The sequence below is a fragment of the Homo sapiens genome, chromosome 5, assembly GCF_000001405.40.
Source record: "Homo sapiens chromosome 5, GRCh38.p14 Primary Assembly".
Lineage (NCBI taxonomy): Eukaryota > Metazoa > Chordata > Mammalia > Primates > Hominidae > Homo > Homo sapiens.
The window spans coordinates 65678950-65699179 of NC_000005.10; the positions used below are offsets into that span (position 1 = coordinate 65678950).

A 20230-nucleotide genomic window follows, 5' to 3' on the forward strand; every position below is an offset into this window, starting at 1 on the left:
AGATGCCAAAAGCAATTGCAACAAAAGAAAAAATTGACAAATGGGATCTAATTAAACTAAAGAGTTTCTTTTCCACACCAAAAGAAACAATCAACAGAGTAAACAGACAACCTACAGAATGGGAGAACATTTTTGCAATCTATCTATCTGACAAAGGTCTAATATCCTACATCTATAAGAACTTAAACAAATTTACAAGAAAAAAACAACCCCATTATAAAGTGGGCAAAGGAAATGAACAGACAATTCTCAAAAGAAGACATATATGTGGCCAACAAACATATGAAAAAACAGCTCAACATCATTGATCATTAGAGAAATGCAAATCAAAACCACAATGAGATACCATCTCACACAAGTCAGAACAACTATAATTAAAAACTCAAAAACAGGCCAGGTGTGGTGGCTCATGCCCGTAATCCCAGCACTTTGGGAGGCTGAGGCAGGCGGATCACCAGAGGTCATTTGACTAGCCTGGTCAGCATGGTGAAACCCCATCTCTACTGACAATACAATAATTAGCCAGGCATGGTTGTGGGTGCCTATAATCCCAGCTACTCAGGAGGCTGAGGCAGGAGATTCGCTTGAACCCAGGAGGTGGAGGTTGCAGTGAGCCAAGATCACACCATTGCACTCCAGACTGGGTGACAAGAGTGAAACTCTGTCTCAAAAAACAAACAAACAACAACAACAACAAAAAAAACAAAAACCAACAGATGCTGGCGAAGTTGTGGAGAAAAAGGAATGCTTTTAACACTGTTGGTGGAAATGTAAATTAGTTCAACCATTGTGGAAGACAGTGTGGTGATTCCTCAAAGACCTAGAAGCAGAAATACCATTCGACCCAGCAATCCCATTACTGGGTATATACCCGAAGGAATAGAAATCTTTCTACTGTAAATACACATTCGTACGTATGTTCACTGCAGCACTATTCACAATAGCAAAGACATGGAATCAATGCAAATGCCTATCAATGATAGACTGGATAAAGAAAATGCGGTACATATACACCATGGAATGCTATGCAGCCAAAACAAGAAATAAGATTATGTCCCTCGCAGGGACATGGATGGAGCTGGAGGCCATTTTACCATTTTACTTAACAAACTAACACAGGAAAAGAAAACCAAATAACACATGTTCTCACTTACAAGTGGGAGCCAAATGATGAGAACACAATGACACATGTAGGGGAACAACACACACTGGGGCCTGTTGGAGGGCAGAGGATGGGAGGAGAGGAAGGATCACGAAGAACAGCTAATAGATGCTGGGCTTAATACCTGGGTAATGGGAGGATCTGTGCAGCAAACTACCATGGCAGACGTTTTACCTATGTAACAAACCTGCACATCCTGCACATTTACCCCTGCACTTGAAATAAAAGTTGGAAATAAAAAAACAGAACCCTGCTATAGCCTTATATCAATACTCCACTACAACCACCACCACAAAAACTCACTTGTTTCTAAAAAAAATTGCATAGCTACATAGTCTATGGAAAACATAGCCAGTAGAGGCAGAAAAGAAAGTATACTCACCATACTAATGAAGGCTGGATTATTTATCAAGCTAGCCATGTCAAAGCTCAGTCCAGTTCCTGTCTGTAAAACAATTATATCTGAGAATCAGTCCAGTATCTACAATTACAATAAATTGTGAATGACAGAAAATACTTCACTCATTTGGCATTAACAACTTACAGGACTGGATACCTCTCTTAACTTCTGTTCTGCTATTTTCAGATTTGACTTATAGGAATCATTTTCAGGGTCAAGATCTAATGCCTTTTGATAACTTGTAACTGCTTCTTCAAATTTATTCAAGGCAGTGAGGGCCAGCCTGAAGGGAATAGAATATAAGAATATCAGATATATGATTAAAGAACATCAGGACATCACAAACATCGTCAAACGTCTGTCTGTCTTGGTATTCAGTTCTAATCCAGATTACACTTAATTTATTCACTGTACTATGGCTCACGGGAGCAAAATTCCCTCCAACTTAAGATTCTATATATCTGAACTCACTCCATTCTGCTTGCTGATAACCTGGTTGTCCTATAGATCATGAATTTAATGCTTAGAGATTATCTTACTTACTCTACCATTTTTAAGCTTAATATGTAAAATAATTTGCTTTATAAATGCCTAGACTAAGTTCCAAAAGATGTGAGTTGACAATCATGTGGTCACATAAATCCATGATGCTAACACCATTTTTAAGGACTCTAAACTGTATTTGTGCTTCAAAATGGCCTACATGCTTTCTTCTTCCTAACAGAGGAACAATTAATATCAATTTTCCATTAAGAAAACAGGCTGTAGTTATTAGATAACTATTCCTGATCAAAAGAGGTAGATAAAATTAGCATCCTTTACAATTCAAATAACAAATTATACCAGGCACAAGTCAAAGAGGTATTAAATTTTAATGTTCATATTTACCTAGTTATAATTTACTTATTGAAAAATTATTATAGAACTAAACAATAACTGTATATATGGTGACATAGTATTAGGGGTTTCTGTTTGTTTTAGGTTTGTTTTAAACAAATTACTGTTTTCTTTTCTCTTTTTCTCTTTATCGGAACCTAATTCATTTTCTACCAGTCAACCATGTATGATACTTTATCAGAGTCCCCAGTTAATCAAGAGTCAAGTCAGTAACTATTTACTGAAACTCTATGATGTATAAGAATATTATTAAAATAATATCTAAAGATACTGAGGATCCTGGCTGGGCGCAGTGGCCCACGTCTCTAATCCCAGCAGCACTTTGGGAGGCCAGGGTGGGTGGATCACTTGAGGTCAGGAGTCTGAGACCAGTCTGGCCAACATGGTGAAGCCCTGTCTCTACTAAAAATACAAAAATTAGCCAAGCATGGTGGCAGACGCCTGTAATCCCAGCTACTAGGAAGGCTGAGGCATGAGAATTGCTTGAATCCAGGAGGCGGAGGTTGCAGTGGGCCGAGATTGTGCCATTGCACTCCAGCCTGGAAAACAAGAGCGAAATTCCATCTCAAAAAAAAAAAAAGATAAAGTTTTCTGTCTTTAAGAAAATTTCATTCTACCTGGGGAAGACAGGCAACAAGCATGCAAATAAAAAGGGCAATATTAAAGGAATGAATAGGAGAGCTGCTCAAAAAGTAGCCACATTGGAAAGATCTGAGTGATGTAAAGAAAGCAGTCATGAAAATGAGGGAGGAGCATTGTAGTGGAAATAGCAGTAAACAGAAAGGTCCCAAGAAAGATGCAAGCTTGGTATTCTTAAGGAACAGGACAAGGGCTGATGAGGAGGGAACACAGAAAACAAAGCATGGAGAGATGATGTCAGAGAACAGTTGGGTGCCAGATGATAGAGGACCATTGCTTGGAGTTTGAACTTTATTCTGGTTGCAATGGAGTCACATGATACAATTTGTGCTTTTGAAAGCTCACTCTGGCTTCTACGTAGAGGATCTACATGGGCAGAAGGGTAGAATGGAGGCAGGGAGATCGGTTAGGAAGCTATTGCAGTAGCTTAGGTAAGAGATGTAGTTTGGACTGGGGCTATATGTAAGATAGCGATCAACACTTGGATTCAAGATATATACAGAAACTAGAATTGACAGGACTTGATGACAGAGTATCAGTACTTATGTCAGGCGTAATAACAATGAAGGATGACTCTTAGGCTTCTGACCTGTGCATGGGATAGATAACTAATTGTACAATGTATTGAGATTGGAAAGATTTTGGAAGGGAACATGAGTTCTGTCTGGGACATGTTAAGTTTAAATACCTATTAAACATCCAAACATAGAGTTGAAGAGTAGTAGAATATATGAGTACGGAGTTCAAACATATAAATTAGATCCGATAATATATATAGTTGATTCTTATTCACAGTAGTCCTGTTCTATAAAGTCACCATGAACAATGAATTAGCAAATACTGAACAATTGTTCCTAGGGAAAATACAGAGTTAGGTTCCTGCAACTGTTGTAAATAGTCATATTTTCATCAACTGATCAATATATAATCTTGTTTTTATGTGTGTTTCTGATTAAAGAAACTTTATTTAATATATATATTTTATTCATTAGCATTGAACTCATAGCCAACGGCACTAACTCATGCCTGAATGAAGCTTGTCTCATAAATATATTTTCTCCATAAGGCACATTACAGTCCTCTTGCACTTAGGAATACTAGATAACACTTCAGCCTATAGTTGGGGGCCACTGTAAACAGCAAAATCACAAATAAAAGGCACAAAAATACAAAAAAAAATGTAGCACTAAATAGACTGTTTCAGCATGAGAGCTGAAACAAAAAGATAGAGCATCACCTTATTCACCCTCAGTTGAGATCGAGAGCATCAGAAGACACATTTTCACTAATTGTGCATGTACATGAATGACCACAGAAGCAGTGTAAATATTGATTTGGGGATTACAAATTAATTTAGCAAGTAGGCAAATTCATAAATACAGAATCTGCAAATAATGAGTATCAACTGTAGATGAATTTTAAAAGCATGGAGCAGGATAAACTGAGCAGAGAGAAGACAAAGAAACAGCAGCAGCAGAGGATGCAACCCTAAAATACAGCATTGTTTAGAGATGGTAGAGAGGAAGAACAAGCAAGGGAGACTGGAAAAGAGCATCCAGTAAAGTGGAAGGGGAAACAGGGCAAGTGTAGTGTCAGGATCCTAGAGAGTGATGTATTTTGACAATAAGTTAATAGTGGCCTGTAATCCCAGCACTTTGGGAGGCCGAGGTGGGTGGATCGTGAGGTCAGGAGATCGAGACCATCCTGGCTAACGCAGTGAAACCCCGTCTCTACTAAAAATACAAAAAATTAGCTGGGCATGGTGGCGGGTGCCTGTAGTCCCAGCTACTCGGGAGGCTGAGACAGGAGAATGGCGTGAACCCAGGAGGCAAAGCTTGCAGTAAGCTGAGATCGCGCCACTGCACTGCAGCCTGGGTGACAGAGCGAGACTCTGTCTCAAAAAAAAAAAAAGAAAAAAAGAGATGACAAAGATGAAACAGCAAGTACAGATAACCATCAGGGGCAGAGAACGAGGAACTGAGAAGTGGGATGGTGGCTAGAGGGGAACGCTGGGTAAAGGGATGGGTCCAACTAATGATTTTTTTTCTTTTTTTTGAGACAGGGTCTCACTCTGTCACTCAGGCTGGAGTGCAGTGACACGATCACGGCTCACCACAGCCTCGACTTCCCAGACTCAAGCAATCTTCTCACCTCAGCCTCCCAAGTAGCTGGGACTACAGGTGTACCCCACCACTCCTGGATAATTTTTGTATTTTTATAGAGATGGGGTCTTGCTATGTTGCCCAGGCTGGTCTTGAACTCCTGGGCTCAAGCATTTCTCCCACCTTGGCCTCCCAAAATGCTGGGATTACAGGTGTTAGCCACTGCACCTGGCTCAGTGAATGACTTTTTATGACCTGATCACATGCCAACCATTATCATCTATTAGAGATGGAAGATCTAATGTTGTAGAAAATGAAGGGGATTGTAATAGTTGCAAAGTTGTGGAGAAGGTACAAGGGAATGGGATCTTAAAGCATGAGTGGAGGCAATGGTCTTAGGTAAGAATGCTTCTTTTTTTTTGAGACAGAGTCTCAATCTGTCACCCAGACTGGAGTGCAGTGGCTCTATCTCAGCTCACTGCAACCTCTGCCGCCCAGGTTCAAGTGATTCTCCTGCCTTAGCCTCCTGAGTAGCTGGGTCTGCGGGTGCTCATCACCATGCCTGGCTAATTTTTGTATTTTTAGTAGAGACGGGGTTTCACCATGTTGGGCAGGCTGGTCTTAAACTCCTGACCTCAAGTGATCTGCCCACCTTGGCCTTCCAAAGTGCTGGGATTACAGGCGTGAGTCACCACGCCCAGCCAGAATGCTTCCATTTTAACAAGAAAAAAGGGCATTCTGTGTAGATACAAATGTAGGCAGACTGATGGATTTGCAAGGAGGAAAATGAGTTGTTTTCCTTCAAAAAGCATCTAGCTTCTCAATTAAGTGTAAGGCAATAGCATCAGTTGAGAGTCACCAGAGAGGGGGTAGTGGAAATTTGAAGGGAGAGGAAGAGGTATGAAATCGTCACATCAGCGAGTGGAAAGGTGACTATAGAAGGAAAAATAATAGAACTGTCTGCCTAACTGTCTGCAATATTGAGTGCTCATCTGAGATTTGTGGTACGGTTATATAATTTTCTCCAACAATCAAATCAGTCATCAATCATCTCACTTCCTAGTCAAAGAAATTGTAGTCATTTCCTCCCTTATGTTTTATTTATCCTCTTATTAGTTCAGAGGGTAAAACATTAAGCAGGAAATTCAAAACCAAGCCATTAAGAACAGCATACCTGATGCTACATGGTACTACTTGGAACATCCTCCCAGAACTTACCCCATTCTCCCATAGGCCTTGCTGTACTTTGAATCAATTGCTATTGCTTTTTCACAATCCTTTATCGCATCTGTGTAGTGACCTAATTTGCTCTGAGCAGCAGCCCTAAGAGAAAGAAAACAGAATTTTATTAAAGGCAGTTTTCAAGGCACTAATTTAGATTTTCAGGTACTAATAATACTACCTTTTTCTTGTTCCAATTTGTAGATCACTCCCACTAAATTTCTAAGTCAAACTGTCTAAGATAATTATGTAATAAAATGAAAAAAAAAAGCTCAGAAACTTCTGTGCAGAAAAAAGTATGCAGGCTGCCTTTCACTGTTTGCTTTGCTATAGAAAGGACAAATATGTAAGTCATACAACTGGTCTACCTATTTATACCCTTTCTAGTTTGTCCAAACAGAAAAGTGAAAAAGCTAGGACATCTTGGCTACTATGGAGGCACAAAGAGTGAGTTATTGCTGTGAATGGCTACACAGAGGGTTGTGCTATTATCACTTTAATGGTAGGGTTAAACGACAAGTAAAAGTGATATCCCAGTCCCCTGGCACTTTCTCTCATTCACTCATTTCTAAGGCCAACTGTATTTTATTTCTTTCAGGCTCCCAGAAGTTCTCATAATCTTGTCCCTCATCAAAAGGTTGAAGAGCCAACTTTGGAAAAAGAACACTTGCCTAGATCAAAATCCCTGCAGTTGTGAACTCTCCTCAATAACGTTTCCAAATAGGAAGAAATAGCTCAGAGGAGAAACAGGAAAGAAGAGAAGCTCTAAGACAGATGCTCAGAAGTCAAAGTGGGGTGCCAGCAACCAAGAAACAGAAGTTTCTTGGACCAAGGAGGGCCAGGGTGTGCTGACCACTTCTTCAATTTCTCACAACTGCAAAGGAGAATGCTATGCTGCACAGCACCTCTGCCTCCAACACTGTAACTCCAAGACCTGGTACCCTTTGCATTAATAAAGGTAAAGAAGCACTCCCTGAAAATTTTGCTTGCAAGCCCAGAAATGAACTTAGGCTCCTTCATGTTCTTCAGTCTACAGACAAGAGTCTCACGCCAACCCAAGTCTCTGACCTCATGTTCCTCTCCCACTGCAATCTGAGAAGCACTACTCTTGTTTTTGCTACCTTTATTCTCTCTTTACCCACATTTGTTTTTTTTTTTTTTCCTTTTTGTAGCAAACATGGTCTCGCTATATTGCCCAGGCAAGTCCTGAACTCCTGGGCTCATGCTATCCTCCCGCCTCTGCCTCCCTAAGAGCTGGGATTACAGGCATGAGCCACCGCACCTGGCCCCATATATGTTGTTTTAATTGTCCTTAAAAACAATCTTTTTGCTTAACCACCCAGTAAACCATCTCTCTTCCTTGAAATTAGTCAAAGGTCATGTCTTTCAAGGACCTAGCTGGAATCTAATAAGCACACACGAAAACAATAAAGCTGATTAAAACACCACCTAGCTCCAAGTATCAGTGAGGATCCTTGCTAATCCTCAATATTTCTTAAGTATGTTCTAATCTCCTCCTGTCAATCAAACTATAGATTAGGGTTATCTAATACTACTTCTATATCACATCCAGCTTATTATTATACTCTACAAATACTGGATGTACATAGTAATAAATCAATTATTTGCTAGGTATCCATGAACAGATGTGTTATGTAAAACCAATCCTGGATAGAAGAAGCTAAAAGAAATACTGCCAATTCTGGAAGCTGAACCTGGGAATATAAACCTACTAAATTTTCACTAAAAATTCAGCACATTTAGTGGGAAGAAAAGGAGAAGAAATAGGAGTTTAGTTCTAATTAACAGGAAGATGATGAGAAATTCCCATCATAGCCTGGTTTCCACAAAGCAGATTAACAACATGTGAGTCTGGATCACTGACTTTTCCCCATCCAATGTGAGGATTCCAGGTCAATAAGCATTCATTAAAGTTATGCTGTATAAGGAGCACAACCTTCCAGACAAGTACAGATCTTCCTTTTAGAGTAGCTTAACTCAGAGAAAATTTTAAGAGACCAACCTTGAAAAGTTTATATACTTCAATGGGTGACACATAGATACATACGTACTCAGAAAGGAGATTTCAAGAAAACTCATATTTATGCTTGGCCTTCTAAGCCACAGTGCTTTCAGGACAAAAACTTTGTGTCACAATAACAATAAGGGAGGAATGAGACATTGTCTCAGAGCAAGCTCCTTTTTCTACCACTATAGAAAGCTCTTGTCGACAGGTGATTTTAGTCCATAGAGCCAGGAAGGTCCCTCAGAGGCCTCAGATGTTCTGGTCTATTCTGCCTGGTTGCTTGAAGGAGAACAGTTCAGAGAGAGAAGTAATGCAAGGAATTAACTGAATGACAATGGAATCCTACCAACTCAGGGAGTTTTTTGTTATTGTTGTTGTGTTTGTGTTTTTGAGACGGAGTCTTGCTTTGTCGCCCAGGCTGGACTGCAGTGGCGCGATCTCGGCTCACTGCAACCTCCGTCTCCCAGGTTCAAGTGATTCTCCTGCCTCAACCCCCCAAGTAGCTGGGATTACAGGTGTGTGCCACCATACCCGGCTAATTTTCGTATTTTTAGTAGAGACAGGGTTTCGCCATGTTGGCCAGGCTGATCTTGAACTCCTGACCTCAAGTGATCCGCCCACCTCGGCCTCCCCAAGTGCTGGGATTACAGGTGTGAGCCACTGCACCTGGCCAGGAAGTTGAATCTGGGATTACAAAACTGCTAAACCAAATTTCATCTAAGAATTCACAACATTTATTGAGAGAAAAGGAGTTAATGGACTTTTTGAGACAGATTTTTAAAATAATTTTATTATATATAATAAGCAGAGCCACTGGAAGAAAAAAAATCTTGTCCAGAAACGGAGCATGAGATATATACTAAGTCCAGGTCTTATATCTAATTCATTAGGCAAGGCAATACTATCTGCAAATTCACAGGCCTAGTGTCTGATCTATCACTGACATCTGATTCTGGAAATCTGATAACGGTGATTTTGTAGAACAGCAAATGCCTCAATCTCATCTCTTTTCTGCCAAGAGTCTCACCTTCAAAACAGTTTACTTGTCCGCACATATGCACAGAAACATGCAAGAAGGGTAAAAGGGCTCATGGGAGGATGGAGAGAGAAAATTTTGAAAAGGGAATTCAGAGAAAGAACTATGTGGTTTTGAAAAAACAACAAATCTGTTCCTAAACACTTGCTAAACACCTTCAGGAAACTGAAAGGCAATACTTGCCTTTAGATATCTGCTTTGTGATTTTTAAAATACAATCAGAAAATGACTCCTCTATACATAATACATAGGACTTAGCATACTCTGAGCATCTGGAATGTTACCTAGCAAAAGTTTTCAAAGAGAACAATAATACCATGTGGATTGCATTTTAAGTGTTTCATATATGGCTACATTCAGGATTTAATGTTAACTATTTTTAATTTTTCTTTTTTTAGGTGGAGTCTTGCTCTGTCGCCCAGGCTGCAGTGCAATGGCGTGATCTTGGCTCACTGCAAGCTCCGCCTCCTGGGTTCAAGCCATTCTCCTGCCTCAGCCTCCCAAGTAGCTGGGATTACAGGCGCCCGCCACCACGCCCAGCTAATTTTTTGTATTTTTAGTAGAGACGGGGGTTTCACCGTGTTAGCCAGGATGGTCTCGATCTCCTGACCTCGTGATCTGTCTGCCTCAGCCTCCCAAAGTGCTGGGATTACAGGCGTGAGCCACCATGCCTGGCCTTTTAATTGTATTTCTTTGTTTAGTTAAAATTTATCTTTAATAAATGCATATTCATGCCTTCCCAAAACACTAGTCATTCTACAGGTACACATAACATTACAATATATTAAGATTATCTAGCAAATCTAAAGTAAAAACACTTATCTGTGTACCTAAATCTGGCTGTAAATTAAGGATGACAACTATTACATCTACTTTGCACAGAATCTCAGAGCAATCAAGGACCATTTATCTGATTTGTTAACACTTGCTATATCACATCTACCAAAAAAACTCTTCTAAAATGACTGGGAACAATACAAGTATAATTATTGTCTGACATGCAAATCTTTCAACTCAAAGTTTCCATAATGTCTCCTGCCCTCATAATTATAAACCAATATAATTGTAATTTATAATTATAAACCAATTATATTGGTTTATAATAACAACTGAAGGATACTGAAAGATACAGCGAAGGAGTAAAGCTACACCACTCCATTTGTTCTTCTCTAAATATTTCTACTTGATTCATTCAACTAATATATCTATTGAGGGCCAGTGAATGCACACTTTTCTAAGAATAATGGATACAGCAATAAGCAAAATAATATTCCTGTCCTCAATAGCACTTAGATTCTAGTGGGGGCATGGAGTGGGAGGAGAAGTCTGGCAGACTATAGAGAAAAGGTGGTTTTAGGTCTAGTTTTCTGCCAATCTTTCTTCATACAGCATGACTGAGGCCCTTACTTTTCAGACTAATTATAAAAATGTTAATATTTATTTAAAAATAAACATAGTCCTTTGCTTCAGTTTAAAAAAAATTAAGATTTGAAAGTATAGGGTTCAACAAACCAGTTTTGGTAGTTCATGTGAAAAAGTGGTATGGGTTTCTCCAACTTAATACTCAATACAAAGTAACAGCAGGACAAGAATAACCATTAGAAGAAGAGATATAGGATGTGTAACTTCCAAATAATTAGAAAGAAAGAAAAAAAATCAATCCAATAGAAGGGGGGGATGTGGGGGAGAGAAGAAGCAGCCAAGAAAAAGGATGCTTAAAAAGAGCCAGGTGCAGTGGCTCATGCCTGTAATCCCAACACTTTGGGAGGTCAAGGCCAAGAGGATCACTTGAGTCCAGGAGTTTGAGAACACCTTGGGCAACACAGTGTGACCCTGTGTCTACGAAAAATTTAAAAATTACCCAGGTGTAGTGGTGTACGCCTGTAGTTTCAGCTACTCGGGAGGCTGAGACAGGAGGATCACTTGAGCCCAGGAGGTCGAGGCTGCAGTGAGCCATGTTCATGCCACTGTACTTTAGCCTGGGTTACAAAGCAAGAGTCTGTCCTCCTCACCCCCCTAAAAAAGGTAGCAGAAAACAATTCAAATTTATCACACAAAACTCAGATTCTCAACTTGGATACAAAAGATATCACTTAAACCATAATCATACACAGGTTGAAGTTAAAAGGACAGCAAAAGACAAACAGGAGAACTGAAACAACAAAAAAGAAAGCTGATGTAGAAACACTAATATTAAACACAAGGCAAATCAGATCATTAAGGATAGAGAGAGGTATTATTTTTACTAATCATCCTTTTAAATTTAATTTTATGTAAAAAACGTACAAAGTTCAGAAGTTAAACCTACATTAGAAGTCTCACTCTCATCCTATAGGGGATGGGTGAGAATGGGGTAGATGGGATAGAAATGGGAGTAAGACTTCAGAAAGATGAAAAAGCAAAACTTCAAACTGAATAAAACAAACAATTGATCCTAATTGTATATCAAAAACAATTCAAATCACTTTTGAGCACAGTATTCTCAGTATATATGCTTAGTGAGATGCATTCAAAGACAAATGAAAAACTGCAAAGAAATCCTGAAGTTTACATAGCAGGCGTGCTAGTGGTGTAATATTGGCTTATAATACCAACTGAAGGATACTGAAAGATACAGCAAATGAGTAAAGCTACTGGTGGTAATGGAAGAAGGGTTTTCACCATGGGAGAAGGAAGATACAAATATAAAATGGGGGAAGATAAGGGAGGATTCTGTGATGCTAGTGAATTGAAGGTATCTGTATAAACTGATACTTTTCAAAAAATCAATTTCCTAGCTCTGTCCACTGAAAGGACCTAGAAGCAATAAGACCTTAGTAGCAATGATCATGTCCTGCAACCCAATCTTGGTTTCTAAATACATCCTCCACTGAAAAGGACAGAGCTTCCTTGGAGAAATAGTTGAGCTCAAGGCTACAACAGGGAAAGTACAAAGGAAATATGGAATGTCTTATTATCTCAGAAAGCAAGAAAGTGGTTGGTTTTTTTATTATTTTATTATTTTTTTTGAGACAGTCTTGCTCTGTCTCCCAGGCTGGAGTGCAGTGGCACACCCAGCTGTTTTTTGTATTTTTAGTAGAGACAGGTGTTTCACCATATTGGCCAGGCTGGTCTCAAACTCCTGACCTCAAGTGATCCACTGGCCTCGGCCTCCCAAAGTGCTGGGATTACAGGCGGTGAGCCACTGTGCCTGGCTAAGAAAGTGTTCTTTAAAAATGAAGTTACAGGCCGGGCGCAGTGCCTCACGCCTGTAATCCCAGCACTTTGGGAGGCCGAGGCAGGCAGATCACAAGGTCAGGAGATCGAGACCATCCTGGCTAACACAGTGAAACTAAAAATACAAAAAAAATTAGCCGGGCGTGGTGGCGGGCGCCTGTAGTCCCAGCTACTCGGGAGGCCGACGCAGGAGAATGGCGTGAACCCGGGAGGCGGAGCTTGCAGTGAGCCGAGATCGCGCCACTGCACCCCAGCCTGGGTGACAGACCGAGACTTCGTCTTAAAGAAAAAAAAAAAAAAAAATGAAGTTACATAAAAGGATACACGACCAGTTTAAAGGGGCTCTCATTAGCCAAATGTGGGATAATTTAAGAACCAAAAATAACTATTAAGGTAACTGATTATAACATATTGAATAGCGAATTTTTAAAAAATTAACGAGTCCAGCTTTTTTGACACTCAAAAAAGCTTCAGTGAGGAAGAGGGAGAAAGCCGAAAAAGGAAGAGAGGAAAGCTCTTCTTTATAGAAATATGTGAGGAAATATATGTAAAGGAAACGATAAAATTAGAAAAATCACCATTTTGCAACTATCAACGTATGTGATAAGGAGAAAGATCATGAACAGATGATAAAATATTTAATAGAAGTTTGTTAGGGAATAATTTTTTATTCACATCACCAAACCCTACAGATTACTTATAAATTACAAAAGGAACAATAGATCTGGTGGTCATCACCTTAAGATATCAAACTTAGAGTCACCAGTAATGGGACAGTCTGAAAATATGTACCTCCTAACACAATGCAATAAGTGGTACACATAATTATTTTTGTAGGCTTCATAACAAAATTTAACTTAAATTTAATCATGAGGAAGCACCACATAAATCCAGAATATGGCTCATTCTATAAGACAATTGGCCTGAACTCTTCAAAAATGTCTATCTCGTGAAAAACAATCAATCAAAAAAGTCAGGGATACTTTTTAGATTAAAAGAGACAAAAGTGGCATAACAAAATACAATGCAAGAAATGTGGTTGGATTCTGGATAAAAACACATAGCTATAAAAGATGTTTTGGGGACAAATGGAAAGATTTCAGTATTAATACTAATTTTCTTACATGTAAATGGTATGATAGTTATATGAAACATATCCCTATTCTTGGGAGATATAGCTGAAGTATTTGGGATCAGCAAGAAAATTTTATGTATTTGTATATAGGCATATACACACCCTCCCACCCCATATACCCCAATAGAAAGACAAAGAGAGGCCAGGTGCGGTGGCTCATGCCTGTAATCCCAGCACTTTGGGAGGCCGAGGTGGGTGAATCACTTCAGGTCAGGAGTTTGAGAAAGCCTGCCCAACATGATGAAATCCTGTCTATACTAAAAATACAAAAATTAGCTGGGTGTCCCGTGGTCCCTGCTACTCAGGAGACTGAGGCATGAGACTTGCTTGAACCTGGAAGGCAGAGGTTACAGTGAGATCATCCCATTGCACTCCAGGCTGGGTGACAGAGTGAGAGAAGGACAGGACAGGATGGGACGGGAAGGGAAGGGAAGGGAAGGAAGGGAAAGAGAGAAAGAGAGAGAGGAAGGAAGGAAGGAAGGAAGGAACGAAGGAGAGAGAGCAAGGAAGGAAGGGATGAATCAAGAAGGAAAGAGAGAAAGAAAGAGGAGAAGGGAGGGAAGGAAGGAAGGAAGGAGAAAAAGAAAGAAAGAGAAAGGGAGGGAGGGAAGGAAAGAAGGAAGGAAGGAAGGAGAGAGAGAGGGAAGGAAGGAAGGAAAAGAGGAAGTAAACATGGCAAAATGTTAACTACCATTGATTCTGTGATGAACATACATATAGAGAGAGATGTTCATCATACTATTCTCTCTCAAGAAGTTTAAATAGGTTTAATTTTTTTTTTAAATAGACACACATACACGCTGCCATGTCACTGTTTCATCATTAGAAGTCATCAGGTAGAGACAACTTTCCCTCCTAAAATTCACTGAACCAATTCAGCTGACTTTTGTGGAATACCTATAATATCCTAGACACTGAACTCGAAACTACTATACAAAGATGAAGAGAATATCTCCCTGCCCTTCAACCTTTCCTAGTCTAATAGGGAAATAGATATGCAAATAAACAAATACTATAATAAATTGCAAAAATGGAAGTATAAAAGGAAGAGGCAACACAGAGAAAGGTGTGGCTAACCCTATGCCAAGCTGTCTAACAGAACTTTCTGCAACAGAAAAGTTCTGTATCTGTACTATCCAATACAGTAGCACCTAGCCACATGTGACTAATGAGCATTTGAAATATGCTAATGCAACTGAGGAACTGCTAATGCAATATTTAATTGTATTACATTTTAATTAATTTATATTTAAATCACCACATGTGGCTGGGAGCTACCATATTGGACAGCACCACTCCACAGGACACGGAGGGGAAGGGCATAGGGGCATGGTCAGGAGGTTGGGAGGAAAAGACATTAAGAAGACCAGGCGCAGTGGCTCACACGTGTAATCCCAGCACTTTGGGAGGCCGAGACGGGTGGATCACCTGAGGTCAGGAGTTTGAGACCAGCCTGGCCAACATAGTGAAACCCCGTCTCTACTAAAACTACAAAAAAATTAGCTGGGCATAGTGGCAGGAGCCTGTAGTCCCAGCTACTCAGGAGGCTGAGACAGAAGAATTGCCTGAACCTGGGAGGCAGAGGGTGCAGTGAGCCAAGATCGTGCCACTGCACTCCAGCCTGGGTGACAAGGAAAAAAAAGAAAAGAAATTAAGAAAGTCGTCCCAAAGAAGCAACACCTAACAGGGTTTTTTGTCTTTTGTTTTTTGAGACAGAGTTTCGCTCTTGTAGCTCAGGCTGGAGTGTAGTGACGTGACTTCGGCTCACTGCAACCTCCGCCTCCCGGATTCAAGCAATTCTCCTGCCTCAGCCTCCAGAGTAGCTGGGAATACAGGTGCGCACCACCACACCCAGCTAATTTTTTGTATTTTTAGTGGAGACAGGGGTTTCACCATGTTGGCCAGGCTGGTCTCAAACTCCTGACCTCAGGTGATTCACCCACCTCGGCCTCCCAAAGCATAATGGGTTTTGAAGGATGACTAGTAGTTGACCAATTAGATAAGGTAGGAAATATTCTAGGCACAGGGGGAAGCACATACAAAGCACAGAGAGATGTCCCAACATGGTATTTTTAAGAAATCAGTAAGTTTCATATGACATGTGCATAGGTAGTAGAGAGAAGAGGAATAGGGTAGGAGGAAAAGTGAAGATAATGAAGTTAAGAGAAAAGAAAGAGCCTAGATTAGAAAAGATCTTATGCGTCATGTTGAGGAGCTTAAATTGGATCCTGTAGGTATTTTGGAACTACTGAAAGCAAGCATTAGATGATCAATTTCACATCTTAGAAAAAAAACGTCTTGGCAGAAGACAGGAGTGGGGAGTGCAAGTAGAAATGGAAAGCCATTTTGATGTCCCTATTGCACTAGTTCAACCAAAGTTAAGAACCTGGACTAAGGGAGTAGGAAATAAATTAGCTATTTGGGAGGTGTATGGAAAAGGGAAACAGAAAGACACCCTGAAATCTGGCTTCAGATTCTGACAATAAGATAAGAAATAAGCAGGGAGGATCAGACTCAGAGAGAAGAGTGGGTGTAAGGAAGGAGGGGGACTGTGTTTCAATCTTAACAGCTTTGGATCACAAACTGCAAGTTAGGGTGAAAGCAGATTTGTGCAGCTCACAAAAGGAACAGGAGAGGCGTCTGAGCCTCAGAGGCCAGGAAAGGAAAGAGAAGACAGGCTATATTTGAATCTTCTGGAAGATGAAGCGAAACATGCCAATGTCTGAACTGAATAACAACGTGGTCTGTGCTCTCTGCCTCTGTTGTCTGGTTATCAGGGCATAACTAATGAAATTTCAGTGGAACAGTACAGTCAGAGTCACATGTTTCCAGGCACCCTTGCTTTCTTCACCTTATTAGAAACAAAAGCACAAATATGATTTATGTTCTATTTTTACAGAGAGACGGAAAAAAATTAAGCTACTTCACATTTCTCACATCATGCATAAATAAATTATGGCAAAAATCTATTCCTACAATTAAAGAAGCCTTACCTTGTTTTTGAAAGAAACAAATGTTGCAAGTCTAGGACTATGCTGGGGACTTTGTACATATTATCACTCCTTACAACTACCCTTTGAAGTGGATAATATCCTTATTTTACAAGTGAGGAAACTGAGGCTTAAAAAGATACAGTAACTGCCCAAGGTCATGTAGCTAGTAAGTGCAGAACAGAGATTCAACAACAAGCTCAAATCCCAGTGGACTGACTGACCACATGCTGCTCACAGAAGAGGAGGAAACAAAATGCGAAATAATGAGGCCTCTGTTCCCATCTTTCTCAGAGCTCACACGGCTACGTGCTGTCACTAGCATTCTTATTACAATGGCCTGAGGCTTCTTGATTGTGCCTTTTATACTAAGCTCTCCAATCTGAAATGCCTTCCCCTCTCCTCTGCCTATCCAAGTTCTACTGGTCCTTCAAATCCGACTCCAGTTCTCCATCACCTAAGAGGCCTTCCAAATTCCCTGCATCATGCTCTCTCTCTCTCCTGTCTTTTATTGCCTTAAGTCATTCAACTATCCATCCACCCCTGAAGCATGAGCTGACTATGGGTAAAGTACTCAGCACTGAAGTACAAAAGAAATAAGAACATTGTGTTTGTGTAGAGACAGAAGACATCCAAAACTGTTGTTCATTTCATATCATGGAGAACTTGGTGGTGTTTTAGACCTATACTCAATCAGTTGTTGTTTTATGTACACAAGTGTTAATGTGAATGGCTGGTTGCTTCAGTATCTTTTATACACTTCATCCTACAAAAATTGGCTGAATTCCTACAAGGCACAGTATAAGGTGCTATAGGGGATACAAATAGATACAAGTGCCAATCTCTGCCCTTCACCTGAAGAAATAAAACAAATATGCATATAAGATAAGGCAGAACGTATGATAAGCATACGATAAAACATATGACAAACCTACATAAATGTTACACATTGTGGCAAGTGCTAGAAGTATATTCAAAAAGCAAAACTACATGGTATGTTTACAAGGAAGGATTCAGGTTTTCCTTTTATCAAAGTGGAGCCTAAAGCATCAGTAGGATCCTAAAAGGCCAAAATAGAAGACAAGTACCAGAAAAGAAAGAGTCATGCTTAAGAAATGTGCCAGATGATCATTTTCTAACAAATTAAAAAGTCAGTTCTATAAAAAGTAAACATTAGTTCATCCTAGTGAGTTGAGTATGTAAAAAATATTTTGATTAGTAATAAAATTGTGAAAATGAATTTAAAATGAATATTTAGATTGGCTATTCTGAGCTTTCAATTCTTGGCAGCCAGCTGGCAAAGAAAAATGGCAGAGGTAGTTGGCAAGATTACAGGCTACTGAGATATTTATAGCTACTAGAGTCTCAAAAAAACCAAAGTGATCCTAAAGCTTTGTTTAGTACTTATATTAAATGTATAAAGTTTTCTGATTATTTAATATTAAATAGCATGCTCTTTTACTGCACTTTTCAGGGAAAAAGATACAATTTAAGTGCAAAAGAGAAGCATAATTATTGATTTCAGTTTTACAAAAATTAAATAAAAAGCAAGCATAGGTATTGCCAAAAATTTCTTCTAATACAGTACTGGTGGATATAAGACTATTCTCATCAAAAATAAACTTTGTAGGCTCACATTTTCCATATTTATACTTAAAAGTACATGGCTTATTGTGCTGTACAAATAAGAAATTTTGTGATAATATTTGTATCTGGTTACAACATTTCATGACACTCAAGTATTTATTTCAAGACTGCATATGTTAAAACACTAAAACATTATATAAATTAATCTGATTACACAGAATAAAACTTAACCATCAAACCACAGCTAAGAGGATTCATTCTCCACAAACTATTTGGATTTTCTATTTTGGGGAGCTACATTGATGATTAATAAAGGAATTTTTGTGTATGTGAAGAAGAAAATGAAGTTCTCTAGTGAGGCCAACTAAACTTCTTAAGGATATGACCTCCCACAAATAATAACTATAAAATCTGGACAACATTTAAAAAAAATTGTTTTAACTAGAAGCAGCCCAGGTGGCCATAGATACAAAAATAGCTAAGCAAACTGATATATTCAAACAATAGAATATTATTGATCAATAAAAAAGAATGAACTAATACATGCCACAACATGGTTGAATCTCAAAACCGTTACGCTGAGCAAATAAAGTCTTGCACAGAAAATATGTATGATTTCTTTCATATGAAACTCTAGAGGAAATGAATCTAATCTATCAAAACAGTGGTTACCTCTGGTGAGTGTTGTAGGCAACAGACTGTGAAGGGGTTTAAGGAACTTCCTGGACATCTGATGGTAGCTGGGATTACAGGCACCCTCCACCATGCCTGGCTAGGATGGTAATTTTCAATATCTTGATAGAATTTTAGGTTATACAGGTGTATGTATTTGTCAAAACTCCATGAAAGTACAGTTAAGATTTATGCATTTTTTGTAAGCAAATTTTACCCCCAAAAAAGTAAATACTAAACTCTAGTTAATGATATGCATGCTAAGTATTTAGGGAGGATGTATATTGATGGCTGCAAGTTGACTTGAAATGCATCAAATGTACTATACTGCTTGATCTCCATAACAACCCTACAAGGTAAATACTAGTATTACCCACATTTTACAGATAGGGAAACCAAGGCATAGATGCACTAGGAAATTTGCTCAAGGTCCCATAGGTAGTAAGTGTCAGAGCCAGAAATTAGAATCCACAGAGTCTGGAACCATCAAAAATAAATAAGTGAGACCTAATTAAACTAAAAGCCTTCTGTACAGCAAAAGAAATAATCATCAGGGTAAACAGACAACCCACAGAATTGGAGAAAATATTTGCAAACTGTGCATCCAACAAAGGACTAATACCCAGAATCTACAAGAAACTCAAACAAATCGGCAAGAAAAAAACAAATTATCCCACCAAAAAGTGGGCAAATGACATGAATAGACATTTCTCAAAGTATACAAATGGCCAACAAACATATGAAAAAATGCTCAACATCACTAATTTTCAGGGAAATGCAAATTGAAACCACAATGAGATACCACCTTACTCTTGCAAGAATGGCCATTATTAGAAAGTCAAAAAACAACAGATGTTGGCATGGACGTGGTGAAAAGGGAATGCTCATACACTGCTAGTGGAAATGTAAATTAATACAACCTATATGGAAAACAGTATGGAGATTTCTTAAAGAACTAAAAGTAGAGTTACCATTCGATCCAGGAATCCCATTACTGGGTACCCACCCAAAGAAAAAAAAATCATTATATCCAAAAGACACCTGCACACATGTGTTTATTGCAGGACAATTCACAAGTGCAAAGATGTAGAACCAACTAAGGGCTCATCGGCCAATGAGTGGATAAAGAAGATGTGGTATATATGTA

At 39.2% G+C, this 20230-nt stretch overlaps 1 protein-coding gene across 3 annotated transcripts in view; it reads right to left on the minus strand.

Moving 5' to 3' along the window:
* The window catches only part of SGTB (small glutamine rich tetratricopeptide repeat co-chaperone beta), a 57086-nt gene that overhangs the window by 13022 nt on the left and 23834 nt on the right, over positions 1 to 20230 (minus strand). For all 3 annotated transcript variants that reach the window (XM_005248548.4, NM_019072.3, XM_047417334.1), the window contains 3 exons: positions 6419 to 6523; positions 1707 to 1845; positions 1545 to 1607 (listed from right to left, as the gene is read on the minus strand). In XM_005248548.4, coding sequence (XP_005248605.1) covers positions 1545 to 1607; positions 1707 to 1845; positions 6419 to 6523 — 307 coding nt within the window. The remainder of the gene's footprint in view (positions 1 to 1544; positions 1608 to 1706; positions 1846 to 6418; positions 6524 to 20230) is intronic.